At 50.4% G+C, this 22,669-nt stretch overlaps 1 protein-coding gene across 5 annotated transcripts in view, besides 12 other annotated features; it reads left to right on the top strand.

The window, feature by feature from the left end:
- The window catches only part of LITAF (lipopolysaccharide induced TNF factor), a 92,596-nt gene that overhangs the window by 24,370 nt on the left and 45,557 nt on the right, over nt 1-22,669 (top strand). The gene's annotated exons all lie outside the window — the stretch shown is intronic.
- Nucleotides 402-1,009: an enhancer, noted in NCBI's record as "H3K27ac-H3K4me1 hESC enhancer chr16:11708795-11709402 (GRCh37/hg19 assembly coordinates)". NCBI's record gives its function as "activates a minimal SCP1, AML or CMV promoter by ChIP-STARR-seq in primed H9 embryonic stem cells {active_cell/tissue: H9 hESC(primed)}" and the evidence as "EXISTENCE:reporter gene assay evidence [ECO:0000049][PMID:30033119]".
- Nucleotides 765-938: a silencer, noted in NCBI's record as "fragment chr16:11708866-11709039 (GRCh37/hg19 assembly coordinates)". NCBI's record gives its function as "represses an EF-1alpha promoter that drives an FKBP-Casp9 reporter gene in an ReSE screen in HepG2 liver carcinoma cells {active_cell/tissue: HepG2}" and the evidence as "EXISTENCE:reporter gene assay evidence [ECO:0000049][PMID:32094911]".
- Nucleotides 1,010-1,617: an enhancer, noted in NCBI's record as "H3K27ac-H3K4me1 hESC enhancer chr16:11708187-11708794 (GRCh37/hg19 assembly coordinates)". NCBI's record gives its function as "activates a minimal SCP1, AML or CMV promoter by ChIP-STARR-seq in primed H9 embryonic stem cells {active_cell/tissue: H9 hESC(primed)}" and the evidence as "EXISTENCE:reporter gene assay evidence [ECO:0000049][PMID:30033119]".
- Nucleotides 1,753-1,962: an enhancer, noted in NCBI's record as "active region_10453". NCBI's record gives its function as "activates an Ori minimal core promoter by ATAC-STARR-seq in GM12878 lymphoblastoid cells {active_cell/tissue: GM12878}" and the evidence as "EXISTENCE:reporter gene assay evidence [ECO:0000049][PMID:35858748]".
- Nucleotides 1,753-2,172: a biological region, named in NCBI's record as "Sharpr-MPRA regulatory region 4417".
- Nucleotides 1,861-2,155: an enhancer, noted in NCBI's record as "tiled region #4417; K562 Activating DNase matched - State 5:Enh". NCBI's record gives its function as "activates a minimal TATA promoter and a strong SV40 promoter by Sharpr-MPRA in K562 cells {active_cell/tissue: K562}" and the evidence as "EXISTENCE:reporter gene assay evidence [ECO:0000049][PMID:27701403]".
- Nucleotides 2,123-2,172: an enhancer, noted in NCBI's record as "active region_10452". NCBI's record gives its function as "activates an Ori minimal core promoter by ATAC-STARR-seq in GM12878 lymphoblastoid cells {active_cell/tissue: GM12878}" and the evidence as "EXISTENCE:reporter gene assay evidence [ECO:0000049][PMID:35858748]".
- Nucleotides 6,697-6,746: an enhancer, noted in NCBI's record as "active region_10451". NCBI's record gives its function as "activates an Ori minimal core promoter by ATAC-STARR-seq in GM12878 lymphoblastoid cells {active_cell/tissue: GM12878}" and the evidence as "EXISTENCE:reporter gene assay evidence [ECO:0000049][PMID:35858748]".
- Nucleotides 10,174-10,673: an enhancer, noted in NCBI's record as "H3K4me1 hESC enhancer chr16:11699131-11699630 (GRCh37/hg19 assembly coordinates)". NCBI's record gives its function as "activates a minimal SCP1, AML or CMV promoter by ChIP-STARR-seq in naive H9 embryonic stem cells {active_cell/tissue: H9 hESC(naive)}" and the evidence as "EXISTENCE:reporter gene assay evidence [ECO:0000049][PMID:30033119]".
- Nucleotides 12,123-12,715: an enhancer, noted in NCBI's record as "H3K27ac-H3K4me1 hESC enhancer chr16:11697089-11697681 (GRCh37/hg19 assembly coordinates)". NCBI's record gives its function as "activates a minimal SCP1, AML or CMV promoter by ChIP-STARR-seq in naive H9 embryonic stem cells {active_cell/tissue: H9 hESC(naive)}" and the evidence as "EXISTENCE:reporter gene assay evidence [ECO:0000049][PMID:30033119]".
- Nucleotides 19,290-20,161: an enhancer, noted in NCBI's record as "H3K4me1 hESC enhancer chr16:11689643-11690514 (GRCh37/hg19 assembly coordinates)". NCBI's record gives its function as "activates a minimal SCP1, AML or CMV promoter by ChIP-STARR-seq in primed H9 embryonic stem cells {active_cell/tissue: H9 hESC(primed)}" and the evidence as "EXISTENCE:reporter gene assay evidence [ECO:0000049][PMID:30033119]".
- Nucleotides 20,162-21,035: an enhancer, noted in NCBI's record as "H3K4me1 hESC enhancer chr16:11688769-11689642 (GRCh37/hg19 assembly coordinates)". NCBI's record gives its function as "activates a minimal SCP1, AML or CMV promoter by ChIP-STARR-seq in primed H9 embryonic stem cells {active_cell/tissue: H9 hESC(primed)}" and the evidence as "EXISTENCE:reporter gene assay evidence [ECO:0000049][PMID:30033119]".

Below are 22,669 nucleotides of genomic sequence, written 5' to 3'. Positions count from 1 at the left end.
TCCCTCTCCCCTCCCCAGAGGTGAGGAGTGGGTGAACTGAACCTTCTAACCCTCTAAGCATTCCAAAGCTATCTAGGTACCCCCACACTGAGTCATCTTGAGTCATCCCATTAGCATACGAAAGATACTCTAATCACTGAGGAGGGTCCAAGGGCTTTGGCAGCTCTGTGCCAGGAACCAGTGACAGGGAACAAAGACCAAGCAGATACTTTTTATTATACCACATAGGTCTTCACTTTTCTTTTTTTATTATTTTATTTTAGTTATTTATTTATTTTTAAAGACATAGTCTCACTCTGTCTCCCAGGCTGGAGTGCAGTGGTGCAATCTCGGTTCACTGCAACCTCCACCTCCTGAGTAGCTGGGATTACAGGCATGCACCACCACACCTGGCTATTTATTTATTTATTGAGACGGAGTTTCACTCTTTTTGCCCCGGCTGCAGTGCAATGGTGTGATCTCGGCTCACCGCAACCTCCACCTCCCAGGTTCAAGCGATTCTCCTGCCTCAGCCTCCTGAGTAGGTGGGATTACAGGCATGCACCACCATGCCAGGCTAATTTTTGTATTTTTAGTAGAGACGGGGTTTCGCCATGTTGACCAGGCTGGTCTTGAACTCCTGACCTCAGGTGATCCACCTGCCTCAGCCTCCCAAGGTGCTGGGATTACAGGCGTGAGCCACCGCACCCAAGGTCTTTACTTTTCCTCTGAGTTGTTGCCCATGCCATTTACACCCCAGGGTAGATGGGGCTCTGGGTGTCGCTTTTCTTCCTGGGATCTCTGTTCTTTCCTCAGCCACTGTCCCCTGGGACTTTCCTGCCTCGTTTTCTCCTAGAGCCCCAGCTTGGTCTCTCCTTCCTTCCTTTGTTCATTCATTCATTCTCCCAGTGTGTACCGACTGGTCATCCACCCCGTGCCAGCTGCTGGGCTGGGTGCTGGAGAAGCAGCTGTGAGTGAGGCACTCAGACCCGGCCCCATCTGACAGCGGGCCACAGGGTCCTGGAAGCCATGCATTCGCTGTCATGACAATCACTGAACTGACTCCCTGCCGTTAGAACTGCCTGCCGTCTAGAACAGAGCTGGTCCAGCTGCAGGGTAATGCATGCCACTGGGCAAGTTTAAATTTTCTAGTAGGCATATCAGAGGAAGTAAGAAGATATTTGTAACAGCTGAAAGGTGAAAACAGTCCGGGCACACTGATTCATACTTGTGATTCCAGCACTCTGGAAGGCCAAGATGGGAGGATCTCGAGCCCTGGAGGTGGAGGTTGCAGTGAGCTGAAGTTGTGCCATTGCATTCCAGTCTGGGTGACAGAGTAAGACCCCATCTTAAAAAAAAACCAGAAAAAGCCTGGGCACAGTGGCTCATGCCTGTAATCCCAGCACTTTGGGAGGCCAAGGCAGGCAGGTCACTTGAGGTCAGGAGTTCGAGACCAGCCTGGCCAACATGGTGAAACCCCATCTCTACTAAAAATACAAAAATTAGCCGGGCCTGGTGGTGTGTGCCTATAATCCCAGCTACTTGGGAGGCTGAGGCAGGAAAATTGCTTGAACCTGGGAGGTGGAGGTTGCAGTGAGCCAAGATTGTGCCACTGCACTCCAGCCTGGGTGACAGAGTGAGACTCTGTCTCAAGAAAAAAAAAAAAAAAAGAAAAGAAAAAGAAAGAAGAGGAAAGAAGAAGGAGAAGGAGAAGGAGAAGGCCTCCAGAAGGACCAGCCCGCTGACATCTTGATTTCAGACTTCTAGCCTCCAGAACTGTGACAATCAGTTTCTGTTGTTTTAAGCCACCTAGTTTGTGGTCATTTGTCACAGCATCCGTAGGAGGGAGAAAGGAGAGTGAGAGAGACTAGGACATCCTTCTGAGCCTGCACAAGCCTCAGCTGCCCCGTCTGTACAATGGGCACAACGGCTCCACTGTTGACTGGTGTTGCTGGGAATGAATGAGTCATGTGCAAGTGTCCAAATCTCAGGACCTGCCAGGAAGCAGAGGGACCCCACAGAACACAGGCGTTGATCTCAACTGTCAGTTCCGTTTTAGAGATAAGGAAATAAACATTCAGCGAGAGAAGTGGCCCGCCCGGTCATCTGACAACATGTGGCAGGGTGAGGCCGGCTCTCGGAGTACAGATCCTCATTTCTGAGATGTCCTTTCTGTCTGGGCTTTGCCCCAGCCACCTCTGTGCCCTCGGTTCCACCAGTGTGAACTGCCTAGCCGGCACACGCCACACCCTCCGTCCGGCTGTGCTCCCTGTAAGGACACCTTTCCTGCTCCTCTCCCACCTAACTCTGGCTTAGCCTTCAACAAGAGCCACTTCCTCCTGGAAGCCTTCCCTGACTGCCCTCACCCTCTGGGAGCTTTCATAGGAGCCCAGTTTGAATCAGCAGGGGCCCCACCCTCCAGGAGTTGTCCGTTCTAGGGAAGATTGTGAATCACCGATGTCTTCGAGGTGGGGCAGGTCTAAACAGGCGGAACAACACACTCTGGCACCTCAGACCCAGCTGTGTCTGAATTGCCCAGATGGTCAGGAGAAGGCAGCCCTGGGACCTGGCAGCTGGCTGCATTGCTTATTCCCCCAGGTGACCCAGGAGGTCTGGTCTCTCTGTCAATGCGAGTGTCCCGTCTCTCTCCATCCCATGGGGATCCAGAAGTGGAAACAAAAACTAGAGTGATCTTGAGGTCAGGCGTTCGAGACCAGCCTGGTCAACATGGTGAAACCCCATCTCTACTAAAAATACAAAAACTAGCCAGGCGTGGTGGTAGGTGCCTGTAGTCCCAGCTACTCGGGAGGATGAGGCAGGAGAATCGCTTGAACCCAGGAGATGGAGGTTACAGTGAGTCGACATTGTACCACTGCACTCCAGCCTGGGCAACAGAGCGAAACTCCATCTAAAACAAACCCCAAAAAACAAATAAAAAAAAATCCAAAGAAAAACCTAGAGTGAAGCACCTGAATGGCTGGCCTTGCCCATCAAGAGGCACCCAGGCCATCGGCTGTGCCCCAAGATGACAGCTTTTGCAGGGTTGGGAGGTCAAGATTCTAGGGGGACACAGGGTTCCCACAAGTCTTCAGGAGCCATGGGAGTCCCTGAGATGGTGCCCAAGAGCTTCTGGTGTAACCAAGCTTGGTTCCACAGTGAAATCATTCCCCAAGAGGGCGGACTCATCCTCCAAACATCTCTTTTCAGTCTGTCCTCGTCCCTCCGCCCTTCTCAAGGACGTGGACAAACAGAGATGTCAGGGGAGAATGGGGTGGGGAAGTGGGTGGCCAGTTCTGGGCTGGGAGTGGGGTGGGAAGGTCTGCTGTCTCTGCGAGGGCTCCTGCCTGGGCCTTGTTAACTTTCCATCCAGGTTCTCTGTGCACGTGAGCGTCCTGAGCTGGGCCGGCCCTGGCCGCCCGCTGGCCGCATGCAGTGCAGTTTGCTCTAACCGCAGGTGACCCACACGAGGTCAGACAGCCGTTCCCACAGAAACCTGCTGGGAGTTGCCCAATAAGGCCCTTCCTTCCTCATTCTTCACCTGCCTTCCAGAGAGCCCAGGCCAAGCCAGGGAGGGAGACACCTCTTCACCAACCCTCCAGGCTGCCCCCCAGGTGGCCCCTTTTCACAAGAATGATGAGGACGGTGCAGCCAAAGCCTGCTGCGGCTCCCAGGAGTCACAGAGTCCCTGGGCTGGGAAATGACCTGGTCTGACTCACTGGAGAGACCCCCGTTTTAGATCTGGGCTGAGCAAACCTGGCACATGGTTGGCTGTCCTGAGCTTTGGCGGTGTGGGCAGTGCCAGGAGATCCTTGGACTTTGAGACCCTGTTTCCACCCTCTCAGTGACATGGCTGTGTGGGCACCCACATAACCCTCTTTGCCAGGCGAGTGGTGATTTCCGAGCCCCGAGGGGAAGAAGGAAGAAGGAAGCCATTAAGTTGCGTTGGATGGGGGTTGTTGTCACACTCCATATCCTGTGGGACCCCACAACAGTCGAAATGGGAGGGCCAGGCGCAGCGGCTCACACCTGTCATCCCAGCACTTTGGGAGGCCGAGGTGGGCGAATCACCTGAGGTCAGGAGTTTGAGACCAGCCTGGACAACATGGTGAAACCCTGTTTCTACTAAAAATACAAAAAAACTATCCAGGCATGGTGGCGCACACCTGTAATCCCAGCTACTCAGGAGGCTGAGGCAGGAGAATCACTTGAACCCGAGAGGTGGAGATTGCAGTGAGGCGAGATCGCACCACTGCACTCCAGCCTGGGTGACAGAGGGAGACTCTGTCTTAAAAAAAAAAAAAAGAAAAAGAAAAAGAAAAGAAAGAAAGAAAAAAAAGATAGAAAAATGCTTGGAGGAAATTTGCTCCCAATTGGCTGCAATTTAGTAGCCATTTCCAGGCAATAGTAGGTGGTAAAAAGTATTGTTATAGGGATGTCCTCTAGGGGAAAGGCTGCTAGATTTAGTAAATAAAAATGCAGGATGCCTGGTTAAATTCAAATGTCAGAGAAACAACAAATGATTTTTTAGTATAAGTATATCCCATGCTGTATTTAGGACTTGCTAAAAAAGTATTCACTGTTTCTCTGACATTTGAGTTTAACTGGGCATCCTATATATATGTTTTGCAGACAGGGTCTCGTTCTGTTGCCCAGGCTGGAGTGTAGGGGGGTGATCGTGGCTCATTGCAGCCTCGAACTCCTGGGCTCAATTCATCCTCCCAGCTCAGCCTCCCGAGTTGCTGGGACTACAGGCTTGTGCCACCACGCCTGGCTAATTAAAAATTTTTTTTTTTGTCTCACTATTTTTGCCTAGGCTGGTCTTGAACTCCTGGCCTCAAGTGATCCTCCTGCTTCAGCCTCCCAAAGTGCTGAGACATGAGCCACCATGCCTAGCCATGTACTGTATTTTTTTCTGGAAACCGTATCTGGGAGGTAGGACGACTCATAGATTTTTAGGCGCCTTCTCCTTGACTTTTCCTCCCTCCTCCTACCCCTTAGATTTCGGTAGCTGGGGGAGAGGGGTCCTAAGTGTTTCAATTAGGACTGACACTGTCGTGAGGTCTTGTTCCGTCTTCCATGTACAAATTGGCCACTGATTCACATTTCCCCAGCCCCACCCAAGAGTGAAGGCTTGCTCCCATGAGCCAGCTGGTCCCCCTTCTGGTACATTACAGGTTGCCTTGAATGGTTGTCTGAGTTGTACAAAGCATGACTCCATACTTGAGAAGAGTGCCCCCTGCATTTGTGCAGTGCGCAACCTGCACAACCCAACACAGCAACCCTGTTTCCACTTCTAGATTATGACCACTGGGCGATGGTTTTTTTCCTCTTATTTACTGCTCAAGTTGGGCTCCATCCCATTGTTCCCTTGCTCGGGGGAAAACCTGAGCACTCTGGGAAGGCACTGTGGCAATGTCTGAAGACAACTGAGCTGCCAAGCCATGTGCACAGAGCTTTTGATTCTCAAGCCATCCTGATATCTGCTGGAGGGACTCTCCACTCCCTTCCCACTGCCCAGCGTGCAGGCTGGGGCTTGAAGGACCAGAATAAAGATTTCCTGCCTGCCCGACCGCCACGTCCTTTCCCGATCCTCACCCCCACCAACCCTCCAACCTAGGCATAATTTTAGAAACTTAATAGACCCCTTGCCGGACATTCTTGGCCTGGAGCCTGCGGGGGCAGGTCCTGAAAGAAGACAGACATTTCTTTCTTAGGGATTGCCGATAGAGATCCCCTGTTTTCCCCTGGGACAGGTTTCTGAGGGGCCATTGTGTGCGGAGGAGCTGCTCACACACTTGCTTCTTTATGGGGTCCCCCCACCACCCAGTCCTCCTGGGCTGGATTATTTTGCAGGGTGAGTCCCAGCTTCTCTGTGCTTCCCTGAGGCCCCCCAAAGCCATCAGGAGCAGTGGGGACTAGGGTGGGGAGGATTGAAGGCTGCAGAGATTGGTGGCCATAGGGAATCCTTTGCAAATCATTGGGGTCATTTGGTGCCTTGAAACTGTAAATGACAGGCGGGGACCTCTGGGCCTGGAGAGAGAAGGTGGGGTGTGATTTCAGCATCCAGGCCTTGGACGACAGTGAAAATTTGTTTCCATCACTGGCCAGGAAAGCCTGGTCTTTTCCGTTTGGATTTCAAGGAATTGCCCCATTCCTGCAGCAGACATTCTGGAGGCTTCTGGAGTGTGAGGGAGAAGTGGGCAGGAAGGAGGCATGCCAGGGACAAATGTTTACGGTCCCTTGAACAGCAGGCATCTCTCAACCGTAGCAGATGGGGGCCTCTGAGGCTCTGGGAGGTGAAGTAACTTGCTCACGGTCACGCAGCCGGGAAGTGGCACAGCCAGTCCTGCAGCCTGAATCCTTTGCTCCCTTTATCCCTTTTTCTTTTTTCCAAGAGTGTTTTGGATACGTAATTTACATACCGGACAATTCACCCATTTAAAGCATACCATTCAGGCCGGGCACGGTGGCTCACGCCTGTAATTCCAGCGCTTTGGGAGGCCGAGACGGGTGGATCACTTGAGGTCAGGAGTTCAAGACCAGCCTGGCCAACATGGTGAAACCTCATCTCTACTAAAAATACAAAAAAATTAGCTGAGTGTGGTGGCAGGCGCCTGTAACCCCAGCTACTCAGGAGGCTGAGGCGGGAGAATCGCTTGAACTCAGGAGGTGGAGGTTGCAGTGAGCTGAGATCTCGCCACTGCACTCCAGCCTGGGCGACAGAGTGAGTGAGACTCCGTATTAAAAAAAAAAAAAAAAGTCTACTATTCAAAGGCTTTTAGTTTATAGAATTGTGCAACTGTCACCACTGTCAGTTTCAGAACATTTTTCTACAGCTTCAAAAGAAACCTCATCCCCTTTAGCCATCGCTGTCTAATTTCCTTGTTCCCCCAGCCCTAAAACCATGAATCCGCTTTCTGTCTCTGTGAATTTGCCTGTTCTGGACATTTCACATCAATGGAACTGTATACTCGGTGCGTTTTTTTTTGTTTGTTTGTTTTGTTTTTTTTGTGTGTGTGTGAGACAGAGTCTCACTCTGTCACCCAGGCTGGAGTGCAGCTCACTACAACCTCTGCCTCCTGAGTTCAAGAGATTCTCATGCCTCGGCCTCCCGAGTAGCTGAGACTAGAGACATGCGGCACCATGCCCAGCTAATTTTTGTATTTTTAGTAGAGACAGGGTTTCACCATGTTGGCCAGGCTGGTCTCGAACTCCTGATCTCAGATGATCCACCTGCCTCGGCCTCCCAAAGTGCTGGGATTATAGGCATGAGCCACTGCGCCTGGCCCCCTGTGGCATTTCACACCTGACTTCTCTCACTCAGTGTACTGTTTCCAAGGTTCATCCACGATGCAGCCCGTATCAGTGCTTTATTCTTTTCCATGGCTGAATAATGCTCCGTTGTATGGATAGACCGGATTTTGTTCATCCACTTGTCTGTCGACGGACATTTGGGGTGTTTCCACCATTTGTGTACAGTTTCCTATGGATTTTTAGGTTTTCAATTCTTGTGGGAGTTCCCAACTCTTAAGCAAGCTGCTCAAATTCCTGCCTACGGGCTTTTGCTCATGCTGGGATTTCCCTACCTGGGAACTCCCCTCCCCTTTCCCCACACCCGGTAGAATCCAACTTGTTCCCCATGATCCAGCTACGTCCCTTTCCTCACTGCTCCCCGTTCTTCTCACCATAACGAGGGACAGGCAGTCTTTCTGCACTCTATCCTTTATCCTGGGCTGTGCTTGCGGTGTGATCTTGGGCCACTCGCTCAGCTTCTCTGAACCCCAGTGGGGTTTATCTGTGACGCAAGGATCTAATTCTGATCCCATGGGGGTGCTAGGAGGATCGAGATGGCAAGAGCTCTGTGTCCTGGAAGCCTGGAAAGGGATGATGTACTGGGGCAGGCATTAGTTTATTTCTTCAGCCAGCTGTTTCTGCTAAGTGCCAGCTTCATGCCTGAGGGGGTTTACTGTTGTAAAACCATAATGATCCTGCCTTCAGGGAGCTGGGACAGGGGTTCTTAACTGGGAGGGAATTTGGTCCTAGGAGACAAATCTGGAGATGTCATCTGGAGACATCTTTGGATGCCATGATGTGGGGAGGAGTGCTACTGGTTTCTAGAAAGAGGTCAGGGATGTTGCCAAACCTTCCATGATGCACAGGCAAGCGCCCATAACAATGAATGACCTGGCCCCAAATACTAATAGTGCCAAGGTTGATGAACCCTGGTCTGGTGATGTTATGGTTGTTCATTCGTTTTTCATGTGTGCCTGTATTTATTAAATTTTTTTTTGCATTCACAACCCTTGCCTTTTTCCAAGATGGATTCGAGGTAACTTACAGAGATACCAACAAAACAACAGGATTTTTTTAATGAGGACGTTGAGGTAGAAAACAATAAGAAGGAAGGAACTTTTTTTTTTTTTCCCGAATGATACCCATATTAAAGCACACTACTTTCAGAAGTGGGACATACATTTGGCTCTGAGCTTCCTAGTGGCCAGAGCAAAAAGAGAACCAATTAATTTCAAGATTCTCACTGACCCAAAATTGAAAATAAATTAAGAGCTTAAGGGAAGTCCAGCCTTCTTGGGTGTGAAGGGCTTTTCTCCTACAGGCCCTTATACAGGGGCCAAGGCAATGTGCTGGAGGAGACAGCACTGTTCTCGACACAGCTCTGCAGGGAACATGATAGTGAGTATCACATTGCATCCTCTGATGCAGGCCTGTGATGCAAGGCTGAGGCCAGCTTGGCAAGGCAGCTATACATGGGGCACCTGCCCTGAGAGTGGGGGTTTTACTTTCCCAACTTTGGAACAGAAAACGTGGTCCACACTGTAGGCAGTTCAGAATAGCAGTGGAAGCTGGGGCTCTGGAGCCAAACTGCCTGGGGTGAGGATGTGGATTTACTCCCAAATGGTGGTGTGACCTTGGGCCATTCCTGAAAGCTCTCTGAACTCAGTTTCCTCATCCATAATATAGGACAGGAATAGCACTTCGCTCGTAAGGTTGTTGGAAGGATACAGTGAAGTAGGCCGGGCGCAGTGGCTCACGCTTGTAATCCCAGCACTCTGACCAGCTGAGGCAGGTGGATCACCTGAGGTCAGGAGTTCGAAACCACTCTGGTCAACATGGCAAAACCCCACCTCTACTAAAAATACACAAAAAAATTAGCTGGGCATGGTGGTGGGGGCCTGTAGTCCCAGCTACTCGGGAGGCTGAGGCAGGAAATTCGATTGAACCCGGGAGGCAGAGGTTGCAGTGAGCCGAGATCGTGCCACTGCACTCCAGCCTGGGCATGTTGTAGTTTTGTGGCTGCAGGCATACCTCAGAGATACTATGGTTTTGGTTCCAGACCACCACAATAAAGCAAAAATTGCAAGAAAGCAAGTCACAGAAATGTTTTGGTTTTCCAGTGCATATAAAATTAATATCAGCAGTAAGCCTGTTTCACTTTCTTATCATTCATGTGCGTACTTTTAATTTCCTTCAGGAACTTTTCTGGCCAGGCGAGGTGGCTCACATCTATAATCCCAGCACTTTGGGAGGCCGAGGCAGGTGGATCAGTTGCGATCAGGAGTTCGAGACCAGCCTGGGCAACATGGCAAAACCTCGTCTCTACAAAAAATACAAAAATTAACTGGGCATGGTGGTGCGTGCCTGTAGTCCCAGCTACTCGGGAGGCTGAGGTGGGCAGATGGCTTGAATCTGGGAGGTGGAGGTTGAAGTGAGCCGAGATCATGCCACTGCACTCCAGCCTGGGTGATACAGCCAGACCTTATCTCAAAAAATTAAAAAATAAAAATTAAAAAAAATCCAGGGGCAGAGGGAACCATGTGGGACGGATAGCATCAGACAGACCAGATGGTGAGTAGGGTGTAGAGGTCAGTGCCATCAGCCTATCATGCCTGTTCTGTGTCTGATAGCAATAGCCCACAATAAGTTTAACGAAAAAGGATCCCTCAACTAAATCAATGATCACATATCCTGTGTGTGCAACACTTTGAAGGAAGAATGGGGGCTCCCAGAAGATCAGGCTGTGCGCAGGCCGTGGGAGAGGTTGGTCTTGATCCTAAAGAGGCAGCTATTGATAAGTTTCCGTGGGAACAGTGGAACCTACCTCCTGGTGCGGTTGTGAGAGTGACATGTGTAGTGTGGGAAGCTCTCGGGGCTCTCACGGTAACTCTCTTGCTTCTCTTTCTCTTAGAGACAGGGTCTCACTCTGTTGCCCAGGCTAGAGTGCAGTGGTGCAATCATAGCTCACTGCAGCTTCGAACTCCTGGCCTCCAGCGATCCTCCTGCCTTGGCCTCCGTGCCCGGCTGGCTGCTGCTTTACTTTTTCTTGCTTCCTCCCCTCTTCTCACTCCTTGTCCCATCTCAATTCTTTTTCTTTTCATTTCTCTTTTTCCCTCCCTTCTTTCTCCTTTTCTTCCCTTCCTTCCTTGCGGCCCCTGCCTAGGAGTCTCCCTCCTGTGCGGCTCTGGGCTGTAAAGAGAGACACGGGGCTGGGAAGGGGTCCCCCACACTGTGAAGGGAGCCCAGGGCAGTGCTAGCTGTGCTCCTTTCCCTCTTCCCAGTCCTCCGGGAGGTGCACAGGATCCCGCCTGGGAGGAATCCTGGGCCTCGTGGGGGTTTCTGAAGACATAGCCAGACCTGCGTGGCATCCCCCCATTGAATACTAGGGGCCACATTCCCCACGGGGACACAGGCACTTGTCACAGCCCCACTGGTGAAGTCCACGGTGCGTAATTCAGCTCATCCTCCATCCAGAGCTGGCTGGGGGGATGCTGAGAGCTTGGGCTCCCTGTTTGCACAGTGGAGAGAGAGAGAGAGAGAGGAAAGGACACATTCCTGTTCCTGGGAGCCCTGAGGGCCTGCACACGGGTGAGGGACCCATTCAAGTGCCCCACGTCCAGCAGTGGTCCTGGCCGATTCCTGGAGTAGGCAAGGAAGTTCCGTTCTTTCCCGCATTGCTCCAACTTCCCGACACAGGAGAACAGATGTTTCACATCCAAAGATGACCGAGATGGCAGTGGCTTCATTACACTGAGCAGGCAGTTCCTTGAACAGGCGTGGGTGGGTCCCAGCCTCTTCAGGAAGCAGTTTGACGCAGCGTTTCAGGGGCCTGGAAATGTCTATACTTTTCTCGTCAGTAATCACACTTCTGGGAATTTGCCCAAAGGAAATAACCCTAAAAAAAAAAAAAGAAAAGAAAAGCCATGTGCCCAGCAATATCTATTGCAGTGACATTTTATAATAGGGAACCATCCAGGTGACACAACTGTGGCCACCACCTAGTAGATTCTTTTTTTTTTTTTTTTTTTTTTAAGAGAGACAGAGTCTTGCTGTGTTGCCCAGGCTGGTCTCGAACTCCTGGGCTCAAGCAATCCTCCTGCCTTGGCCTCCCAAAGTGCTGGGATTACAAGCGTGAGCCATCACACCTGGCCGAGAGATTCTTGATGATGGCATTTGTGCTCCTGGATCCAGCCATGCCTGAAGTCCTCACCATGGACTTTCCAACTATATGAGCAAATAAATTCCCTTTGCTATCTAAACAATATATTTATGATACAAAACTGTGCAATTAGTTGGGTCGTAATGAGGATTAAATGAACTAATGATATATGAAATACTTGCTTCACAGGGGCTCATGAGAGGTCAGCTCTCAGGAATTTCTTTCCCTTCAGTGAATGTAGTTCCAAGTTAAAATCCACCAAGCATATTCCACATTTTAGAGCAGGCATGAATGGGTTTGGTTGATTTAGAACAATAAGCACACAGAACTGAAATTTCACATCACCACCTACCCCTCCAGTGTCTCACTATGTTGCCTAAGCTGGTCTCAAACTCCTGGGCTCAAGCAATCCTCCTGCCTCAGCCTCCCAAAGTGCTGGAGTTACAGGCATGAGTCACCACGCCCAGCCTCTAGTGGAGTCTCGCTCTGTTGCCCAGGCTGGAGTGCAGTGGCGTGATCTTGGCTCACTGAAAGCTCCGCCTCCCAGGTTCATGCCATTCTCCTGCCTCAGCCTCCTGAGTAGCTGGGACTACAGGCGCCCGCCACCACGCCTGGGTAATTTTTTTTTGTATTTTTAGTAGAGATGGGGTTTCACTGTGTTAGCCAGGATGGTCTCGATCTCCCGACCTTGTGATCCGCCCGCCTCAGCCTCCCAAAGTGCTGGGATTACAGGCGTGAGCCCCTGCGCCCGGCCTCTAGTGGATTCTTAAATGTGCATTTATAAGAAGGAGTTCTGAGAGCTCTTTGTCAGCTAAGCTGGAAACACAATTGCATGCCTGCTGAGGTGGCCGGGTTGGGATGGGGGCTGCGGATTTTCCGAACCATTTCTGATACTGCCGCATTGCTCTGTCTGCTAGGAAACCTTGCCAGGCAGCTGTGTCCCCCAGGGCGTTTCCAGCCATTCCCAGGCTAAAACTGGAGCGCCTGTTCCATTTTGGAAAATGAAGACCGACATCTCAAGGCGTGTTTCCTTTTTGGATGTTCCCCTGGATTTCTGGAGGGGAAGAGAAGGGCGCGTGGAAGACAGCCAGGGAGGCCCTTGAAACCCCTCGGGAGGCAGAGCCCCTGGGGCAGGGATTTGGTCTTTTTCACCTCAAAAGCCTGCTGACAGCTCAAACAGCACCGCCCCCATCCTGGGGATGGAGGCAGGGAAGTTTATTTTTTCTAAAAGATTGTTAAAGGTCTTTATTTTATTGCAAAAGCAATACACGCTGATTGTTTAAAAAGAAACACACAAATAGTACAGAATTGTATAATATAAAGCTCCTGCCTGCAACCCCCTCCTCCTCTTCAGAGGGAGGCACCCTTTACTGTTTGTGTTCTTCCTTTTATTTTTAAATGTGTTCTATTTTATTTTCTAGATTGCCCAGGCTGGAATGCAGTGGTGTGATCACAGCTCGCTGCAGCCTCGGACTTCTGGGTTCAAGGGACCCTCTCACCTCAGCCTCCCGAGTAGCTGGGACTACAGGCATGGGCAACCATAATCTGCTAATTTTTTGTTATTTTTTTGTAGAGATGGGGTCTCGCTGGGTTGCCCAGGCTGGTCTGGGACTCCTGGCCTCGAGCAATCCTCCCACCTCGGCCTCTCAAAGCTCTGAGATTATAGGCGTGAGTCAGTCACTGAATCCCACCTGTGTCCTTTCTTTTAGATAGTTTCCATTTCAAGGCTTTCCAATTTTTTTTTTTTTTTTTTTTTGCAACAAGCCACAGTGAACAATAGATCTTACAACCTGGTACACACGGGCACTCGTATAGAAATAAAACACAAGTGTAACTCAACCATACTTGTGGCATGGAGTGCCCATCTGGAGTTGTGTAGTCTATTCCATTCCATTCAATTACATTTTGTTTACAAAGAAAGGTGGCTCGTCATAACCCAATCAAATGATTTCATGCCCCACTGCAGGTGTGACCTGCAGACAGACACCTGCTGTAGACAGTGACACACGAGGCCAGCTGTTCACGACTCCCTGTCCTACAGCTTGGGACTCACACTGAAGAATTTAGCAGCCTGCTTTCCATAACATTTCCATAACAGCCTGCGTAGGGCTCTTCCTTCCTCCTTAACAGTGGCAGAATATCTTATTATTTATATATTTTTGAGACGGGGTCTCATTCTATCACCCAGGCTGGAGTGCAGTGGTGCGATCTCAGCTCACTGTAACCTCCGCCTCCCGGGCTCAAGCAATTCTTGACTCAGCCTCCCAAGTAGCTGGGACTACAGGCATGTGTCACCACACCCAGCTAATTTTTTGTATTTTTGGTAGAGACAGGGTTTCACTATGTTGGCTGGTCTCGAACTCCTGAGCTCAGGCAATCCGTCCGCCTCGGCCTCCCCAAAAGTTCTGAGATGACAGGCATGAGCCACTGCACCCGGCCCCATTGGGCAGAGTTATCTTATTGAGTGGTTTTTCTGGAGGTATTTGTTCAACTCCTTCTGGAGTCATTTGCATTGTTTCCACGCTGGGGCTATCACTATTGAGGTCATGTGGGACATCCCATCCAGGCACAGGAGCAAGAACATCCCATCTAGGCACAGGAACAAGCACATCCATGTGGTAGATTCCCAGGGTGGAATTCTGGACTACAAAGCCACAGGCCAGGCAGGGTGGCTCACATCTGTAATCCCGACAACATGGGAGGCCTAGGCAGGCGGATTACTTGAGCCCAGGAATTTGAGACCAGTCTGGGCAACATGGTAAAACCCCGTCTCTACAAAAAATGCAAAAATTAGCCGGGTGCCTGTAGTCTCAGCTGCTGGGGAGGCTGAGGCAGGGGAGGATTGATTGAGCCCAGGAAGTGGAGGCTGCAGTGAGCTGTGATCACACCACCGCACTCCAGCCTGAGCGACAGAGCGAGACCCTGTCTCAAAAAAGTTAATAAATAAACAAAAGCGGCTCCTACTGTGTTTCCTTGTAGGAACCAGTCACGATTTTTAAGAAAATACTATGGTTTTATAAAGAGGATATTCTTGGTTCAGAAAGAGTTTGGGTCAAGTAGCTAACCTTACCCTGGTTCTGTGTGGCCAAGAGAGAGAAGAAAATTGGAGAGCCCCCTTCCCTCTGGGATTTCCCAAATATTTCCTCTACATTTCAGGGTCTAATTGTGGTAGCCCCATGAAGGTGTTCAGGGTGGAGGAGGGAGGCCAGTGGAATGGGGTTGGGTGGGGGAATGACCTCTGTCACAGAAGGGTGGGGAGGTGGGAAGGGGAGGCGGTTTTATTTGTCTGATTTGTGGAAACCCTCCAGACATTAAGGCCTCCGAGTGACATTCCCAGGATGGGGTCTGGAGGGCCGCCTGTGTGTGTGGAGGCAGGTGCAAAAGGAGGAGTGAGGGTGGGGGGATGGAGAATCAGGATTCTCCCCATTCCATTCCTGTCCATACTACCCTCTCTTTATTCACTTTTTCATGTGCCGGTGATGCGGGATTTTTCTTCTTGGTCACTTTCCAAACCAGGGACCCCCAGTAGGCGACACCCTGCCCAGGCCTCACTCAGCCACACTGACATGCCCCGGTTTGCCTGTATTATAGCTTGTATCCATGTTTGGCAGTTCCCGAGCTCTTGTACCATGCCCGAGAAGAATGAGGATATGCGGGACATTGGAGGAGGAGGGTGGGGAAGAATTTTATTGAGTAATGAAAACGGCTTTCAGCGGAGAGGGGACACAGGGTTGGTGCCCCTACCTGAAGGCAGGGAAGTTCTCCCCCTGTGGTTGGGTCTGGGGTCTCTTATGGACTCAGAATGGGGAGTGTGGGCTGACTGGTTTGTGAGTATTGCAAAAAGGTTAAAATGAAGACACCACTCAAAGGTGGGCATGACGGTGTAGAAAACCAATTAGGAAAAGGTAGGTATATGTCAAATAGGTGAAGGGTGGGGGCCAGCTAGAGGAAAGCATGCCAAACGGGAAGACAAGCTCCCAATCCAGTCCGAGAATTTAACTTCTAGCTTGGCTTTTGGGTTTTAAACTGTCTCCCACTTGGAGGTGGGGTTGCGCTGGGGACCCGGCCCATCTGCCTAGGCATTTGGCTGCCTCCTGCCACTCTCACAGGCCTATGCCAGGCATCTGGGACACAGCAGTGACTAACACACAAGCTTTATCCTCCCAGCAGGGACCCTCTAGCTGGGAAGACAGACGTGGAATAACAACCATGATGTAGTTATTTAGGAGGTGACAAATGTGGCCGAATGCAGTGGCTGGCACATGTAATCCCAGTGCTTGAGGCCAGGAGTTCCAGACCAGCCTGGGCAACACAGAGAGATCCCATCTCTACAAAAATAAAAAATACAAAAACAAGCTGGGCATGGTGGCTGGTGTCTGTAGTCCCAGCTACTCGGGAGGCCGAGGTGGTAGGATTGCTTGAGCCTAGGAGTTTGAGGCTGCCGTGAACTATATGATCACGCCACTGCACTCCAGCCTGGGAGACAGAGTGAGACCTGTCTCTAAATATAAAAAATTAAAAAATTAAAAAGGAGATGGTAGTGCAACAGAAAAAGGTGACAGGGTGGGAGTGTTTCATGAGGGTCGGGAAGGGGAGGATAACCTCAGATAGAGTGGTCAGTGGTGTTTGAGCACAGGTTTGAAGGAAGGAGCAGGCCACATAGATACCTGGGATGCCTGCAGTCCAGGCAGGAGGAGCAGCCGTGCAAAGGTCCTGAGGCAGGACAGTTCTGAAACAGCTGGGAGGAGGCCCCTGTGGCTGGAGTGGAGTGAGCAGAGTGGAAGATGTTTTGGAGGTGAGGGGCAGAGAAGAGACGAGGCTTAGGGTAACACAGGGCTCTAGAGTTCTCAGGAAGGGCTCTGCCGCCTCTCTGGGCTTTGGGGAGACTGAGTCCAGAGCTCAGGTAGGGGGTGGTTTGTGTCATGAGTCCATTTGCTTGGCTAGGACCATTTTCTTATCACGAAGCTGTGGCTACAGCAAACAGATCAAAACTGTGATTCTGGAAACACATGAGTTCCAGCCCAGGGCTCACTCATGGGCCTTGCAGGGTTTTGTTTTGGGTGGAAGGGGAGCTTAAAGTCAATAGCAACACCATCATCATAATAGCTGAAAGACTCATACCTATAATCCTAGCACTTTGGCAGTCCGAGGTGGGTGGATCATCTGAGGTCAGGAGTTCGAGACCAGCTTGGCCAACATGGTGAAACCCCGTCTCTACTAAAAATACAAAAGTTAGCCGGGCATGGTGATGCATGCCTGTAATCCCAGCTACCCAGAGGCTGAGGCAGGAGAATCGCTGGAACCCAGGAGGCGGAGGCTGCAGTGAGCCGAGATCGCACCACTGCACTTTAGCCTGGGTGACAGAGTGAGACTCTGTCCCCCCACCCCCCCATAAAAGGCTTGGTGCGGTGGCTCACACCTGTAATCCTAACACTTTGGGAGGCCGAGATGGGCAGATCACCTGAGGTCAGGAGTTTGAAACCAGCCTGGCCAACATGGTGAAAACCCATGTCTACTAAAAATACAAAAATCAGCCAGAAGTGGTGGCGGGTGCCTGTAATCCCAGCTACTTGAGAGGCTGAGGCAGGAGAATCGCTTGAACCCGGGAGGTGGAGGTTGCAGTGAGCCGAGATTGCGCCACTGCACTCCAGCCTGGGTGACAGAGGGAGACTCTGTCTTAAAAAAATAAATAAATACATAAATAGCTGAATGAGGCACGGTGCCTGCTGCTTTATCTCATTGTCATGACCATGGGGAGGAGGCAGGGCAGCTGAGAGAACAAAAACATAGGTTCTGGAAGGGAGGCGCTGGCTCAGGTCCTGTGGCCGCTGCGAAAGAGACCAGAGGGAACTTTCAAAGCCACGTCATCATTGTCACCGCTTTCACCATTTCCTAAAAACCAAAGGGGGCCTGGCTGCACCGTAAGCCCCGGTTACCCCCTCGGGAGGTTGAGCAACCTGTGGCTTCCCGGTACCCACAGGCACGACTCCCTACCTGCGCTTCCCCTTCTGGCCTCAGGAAAAGAAACCCGCCTTGAGCCACCGCAGCTCGTGCCAGGGGTCTCAGATGATGGACAGACACTGATATGGAGGTTCAAATTTCGGGAAACACAGCAACAGCCCAGCCATGGTGCGTCTTGGAGAAAACCCTAGACAAGGAGGTTCTTTTGCAAGCCGAGTAGAAGAGTGGCATCTTGGCTTGTTGTTGTCTGGGGCAAAAAAAAAAAAAAGGCTCAGGCCCTGGAGAGACAGTGGGGCCTCAGTGGGTGCCCCAAGAGAGGAGAGAAACTTGCATGGAGACCCAAGAGTGCTGAGCTTTTGGCCGGGCACAGAGGCTCATGCCTGTAATTCCAGCACCTTGGGAGGCTGAGGCAGGAGGATCACTTGAGCCTAGGATTAAGTTTAAGATTAGCCTGGGAAACCCATCTCTACAAAAAGTAAAAAATTACCCGGGCGTGGTGGCGCATGCCTGTAGTCCCAGCTACTCGGGTGTCTGAGGCGGGAGAATTGCTGTGCTCAGGAGGTAGAGGCTGCAGTGAGCTATGATAGCGCCACTGCACTCCAGCCTGGGTGACTACACAAGACCCTGTCTCTACAAAGAAAAAAGAAAGCAAAAAAGCATGCTGGGTTTTGTCCCATTTCCAGCCTGGCTGTGGGGCCTTTAGCTCCTCAACCCCTTTCTGGGCCTCAGCTATAAAATGACGGGGCTGGAGCGGGGAAAACAGGCAGAGGGCTCTCCTTCAGACTGCGGAGGGCAGGGACTTGCCTCACCTCACACAGAACTGCTTGTTTCTGTTCTGTGAGTTGGGCTCTGTAGGACACTGTTTTGGAAGGGAAGGTTCTTAGGTTCTGTGGCCAGAAAGTCACAGATCTGGGCCATCTAGAAAGCTCTAAGCTCTCCACAGCATGGGGGCTGAGCATGGACGTAGAGCCAGACAGCTTGGGTTCAAATCCTACTGCTGCCATGTGCTGGCTGTGTGACCTTTGACAACCTGCCTGACCTCTCTGGGCCTGTATTGCTAAGTCTGTAAAGCGGAGATGATAATATTTCCCTTATAGGGTTGCTGGGAGAGAGGAGTCTGGTGGCCTATGTGACTGTGACTGTTTGTTAGGCGACTATAATTCTATGACTCATGCTCCACCCGCACTCCACTGCCCAGCCTCTCCCCACACCCCCAGTGGGTTGTGGAATGGAGCTCAAAGAATGAAATTCTTCTGTGTTATGAAGACGTGTGTTTCCTGGAGGCTACAAGGAAGAGAAAGTGCCAGTAGATGACCCCAAAGTCACAGGGTACTTGTTTATTGTGGATTTTTCCTCCCCTGCTCCTAACCAGAATATAAACTCCAGGGGAGTTGGGACCGCTATCTTGTTACCCCAGTTCTAGCTCCTGAAATGGTGCCTGGTTCCTAGGACACATCACCTGAGAGGGTGAGAAAGCTGCCTGACAACTTCACGAATCAGCCAGACCTGGTGCAAATTTTACCTGTAGTCACCTTCTTGCTCTGTGATTCGAGGCATGTTACTTTACCTGTCTGGGCTTCAGTTGCCTAATCTGTAAAACAGCTGGATTGTTGTAAGGAGAAAATGAGATGGTGGATGTAAAAGTGCTTTTACATTCCAGGGCCTGGCACCCAGTGGGTACTCAGCTTGTGTGCCCATCACTGTCTTCCTCCTCCCCACCACCTCCTCCTCCTCCCCCTCTTCTTTCCTCCTGTCCCTTCCCCCTCTCCCCTGTCCCCCTCCCCCTCCTCCTCTCCCTTCTTCTCTTCCTCCTCCCCTTCTCCTTCACTCTCACGCTCCCCCCTCCTCCCTCTCCCCCTGCTCCTTCCCCCTCCCCTCCTTTTTCCCTCCACATCCTCCCTCTCCCCCTCATCCTTTTCCCCTCCTCTCTCCTCCTCTCCCCTTCCTCCTTTCCTCCCTCCTCCCCTTCCTCCTCTCCCCCTCCTCCTCCCCTCTGCCTCCTCCCCTCTCTGTCCTCCCATTCCTCCCCCTTCTTCTCCTTTCCTCCTCCCCTTCCCCCCTCCCCCTCCTCCCCTTACTTCTCTCTTCCTCCTCCTCCTCCTCTATTGGGATTTCATTCTGCATCAGATGCCAGTTGCTGTGACCTGGGTATGTTTTGTTAAATAGAAACACAGTCATGCAGCACAATCCCTGTGGCCAAGAGGACACCTGTGTGTCATTATTAAGTGGATCAGGCCTCCCATCCTGAGAACACGCTCTTCCTGCGGTTTACAGGGCCCCTGCCCTGAAGCAGGTAACCCGGGCCTCACTCTGGGCAGGCTGGAAAGGCCCCACCTGCTATCCGGCTGGGCTGCTTCTCCTGGCCGTGGTGAAGACTGAGGCCTAGCCAGTTCTGGGATGGTCCCACACCCCGAGGGGAAGGGTTGACCCATTAATTACAGTGCTTGGGAAGCTCACCTGGGCCTCTACCTGTGCCACTGGCTGCAGGTGCCATCACCCCCAGACGGTGACCAGGGACTGTCCATGGACTTGGAGCCAGGCCGCCTGCTCACTGGGATATCCTGTCCTGGCCAGAGGCAGATCTCACGGGGAGCACTACTAGATGGAACCCAGGATGCCTAGTTACATTTGAATTCCAAAGAAATAGCAAATGATTGTTTAGTATAAGTATGTCTTACACAGTATAGGGACATATTACAAATCCACAGCATTTGGGACATACTTATACAAATGACCAACAGGCATTTGCTACTTCTCTGCAATTCAGATTAACTGGGCATTCTGCATAGTTTTACCTGTTTTTTTGTTTTGTTTTGTTTTGTTTTTTGAGACGGAGTCTCACTCTGTCGCCCAGGCTGGAGTGCAGTGGCACGATCTCAGCTCACTGCAAGCTCCGCCTCCCAGGTTCATGCCATTCTCCTGCCTCAGCCTCCCAAGTAGCTGGGACTACAGGAGTCCCCGACCATGCCCGGCTAATTTTTTGTATTTTTAGTAAAGACAGGGTTTCACTGTGTTAGCCAGGATGGTCTCGATCTCCTGATCTCATGATCCACCCGCCTCGGCCTCCCAAAGTGCTGGGATTACAGGCTTGAGCCACCGTGTCCAGCCGGCATCCTTCATAGTTATGTGCTAGATCCAGTAACACTCCCTAAAGCCTCCCTCTGCCCATGAGCTCACCCCGTTTCAGCTCCATCTTGGCAGCAGCAGAAACAAAGCGTTTGGCCAGGGTCAGGGCCAGGCCACTGAGCCAGAATTGGGGTTGGGGGTGTAACCTCAGGCAAGCCTCCTGTCCTCCTGGCCTCAGGCTCCCCATCTGCATAACTCAGCTGGAAGAATCCCAGCTGCATGGACCTTTTTTGAGGATAAAGCGTGTGATGTATGTGGGAAACATGTTTTAGAAATGGAAAGGTGTTATGGAAACATGAGTGACCGGAATTGGTCGTTAATGGGTAACACAGACCAGTCAGTGGGGGCTGTTTACTGGCAACTGGGTTCCTGTTTTGGAGATTAGTTTTTTTCAATAAGCAACTTGCATTTGTTCTTGAAACATTAGAAAATGGACAGTAGCAAAAGGACGAAAAATTCCCTAATTACATCACTCAGAGACAACTATTTATAGCCTTTATTTTATTTTTATTTTTATTTTTATTTTACTTTATTTTATTTTTTTTTATTTTTTTGAGATGGAGTCTTGCTCTGTTGACCAGGCTGGAGGGCAGTGGCATGATCTTGGCTCACTGCAGCCTCCACCTCCTGGGTTCAAATGATTCTCTTGCATCAGCCTCCCAAGAAGCTGGGATTACAGGCACGAGCCACCATGCCCGGCTAATTTTTGTATTTTTAGTAGAGACAGGGTTTCACTATGCTGACCACGCTGGTCTCAAACTCTTAGCCTCAAGCGATCCACCTGCCTCAGCCTCCTAAAGTGTTGGGGTTGCAGGTGTGAGCCACCACGCCCAGCCTCTATAGCATTCTTTTTCCTTGGAAACCTTTTCCTCCAGGTGTGTGTGTATTTCTTTTTCTTTTTAACAAAATAAGTGGGATCATAGTCTGCATTCTTTTAGGGAACCAGTTTTTCCTCCTGTGGCCACTTCATGTCTGAAGTTTCAGAGTACACCCAGAGGAAAAGCATCTTCCTTTCTGGTCCGTGTGATTCCTGGGGTATTGGCAGATGTCCTATAAAACCATAGCCTGCCTGGCCTCCTCTTGCTATGCCCACATAGATGCCTGGTTTATGTTAAAAAAAAAATTGGGATACAGTTGTTGTAATGAAGTTTAACATTTTAACTAGTTTAAACTGTACAATTCATTGGCATGTAGTGTTTTGCAGTCACCACCAGTATCTAGTTCTAGAATTTTTTTTTTTTTTCGAGACAGGGTCTCACTTTGTCACCCAGGCTGAAGTGCAGTGGCGCCATCTCGGCTCACTGCAACCTCTGCCTCCCAGGTTCAAGTGATCCTTCCACCTCAGCCTCCCAAGTAGCTGGGACTATAGCTGTGCGCCACCATGCCTGGATAATTTTTGTATATATTTTTTTTAATGTAGAGACAGAGTTTCACCATGGTACCCAGGCTGGTCTCAAACTCCCGACCTCAAGCAACTCGCCTGCCTTGGCCTCCCAAAGTACTGGAATTACAGGCATGAGCCACTGCACCCAGCCCAGAACATTGTTATCACCCTAAAAAGAAACCTCATACTCTTGGGCAGTCACCCCCCAATCCTTTCAGCACGGATCCACTTTCTCTGTCTATGGATTTGCCTATTCTGGACATTTCATGTAAATGGAATAATAGATATGTGGTTTTTGGTGTCTGGTTTCATTTTACAAAATGTGTTTGAGGTCCCTGTGTATTGTGGAAAGCATCAATGCATTGTTCCTTTTTATGGCCAAATCATTCAATTCTTTTATGGTCAATACTCCTGGTAGAGATATAGTACATTTTTGTCTGTCCATTCATTCACTGATGGACATTTGAGTTATCCCTACCTTTTAACTATTGGGAATAGTGCTGCTATGAACATTCTCGTACAAGTTTTCACTTGAGTACTTGTTTTCAGTTTTTTTGTGTATATACCTTGGAGTGGAACAGTAGCTATAGCATTTTATGTTCTCACCAGCAATGTTTGAGGGTTTCAATTTCTTCACATCCTTACCAATATTTATTTTCCATTAACTTTTTTTTTTTTTTTTTTTTTTTTTGAGACAGAGTTTCGCTTGTCTCCCATGCTGGAGAGCACTGGCGCAATCTCGGCTCACTGCAACATCTGCCTCCTGG

The sequence above is a fragment of the Homo sapiens genome, chromosome 16 (genome assembly GCF_000001405.40).
Source record: "Homo sapiens chromosome 16, GRCh38.p14 Primary Assembly".
NCBI classification, from domain to species: Eukaryota; Metazoa; Chordata; class Mammalia; order Primates; family Hominidae; genus Homo; species Homo sapiens.
The sequence above is the reverse complement of the archived record's forward strand: the minus strand, read 5'-3'. Positions and strand labels throughout refer to the sequence as shown.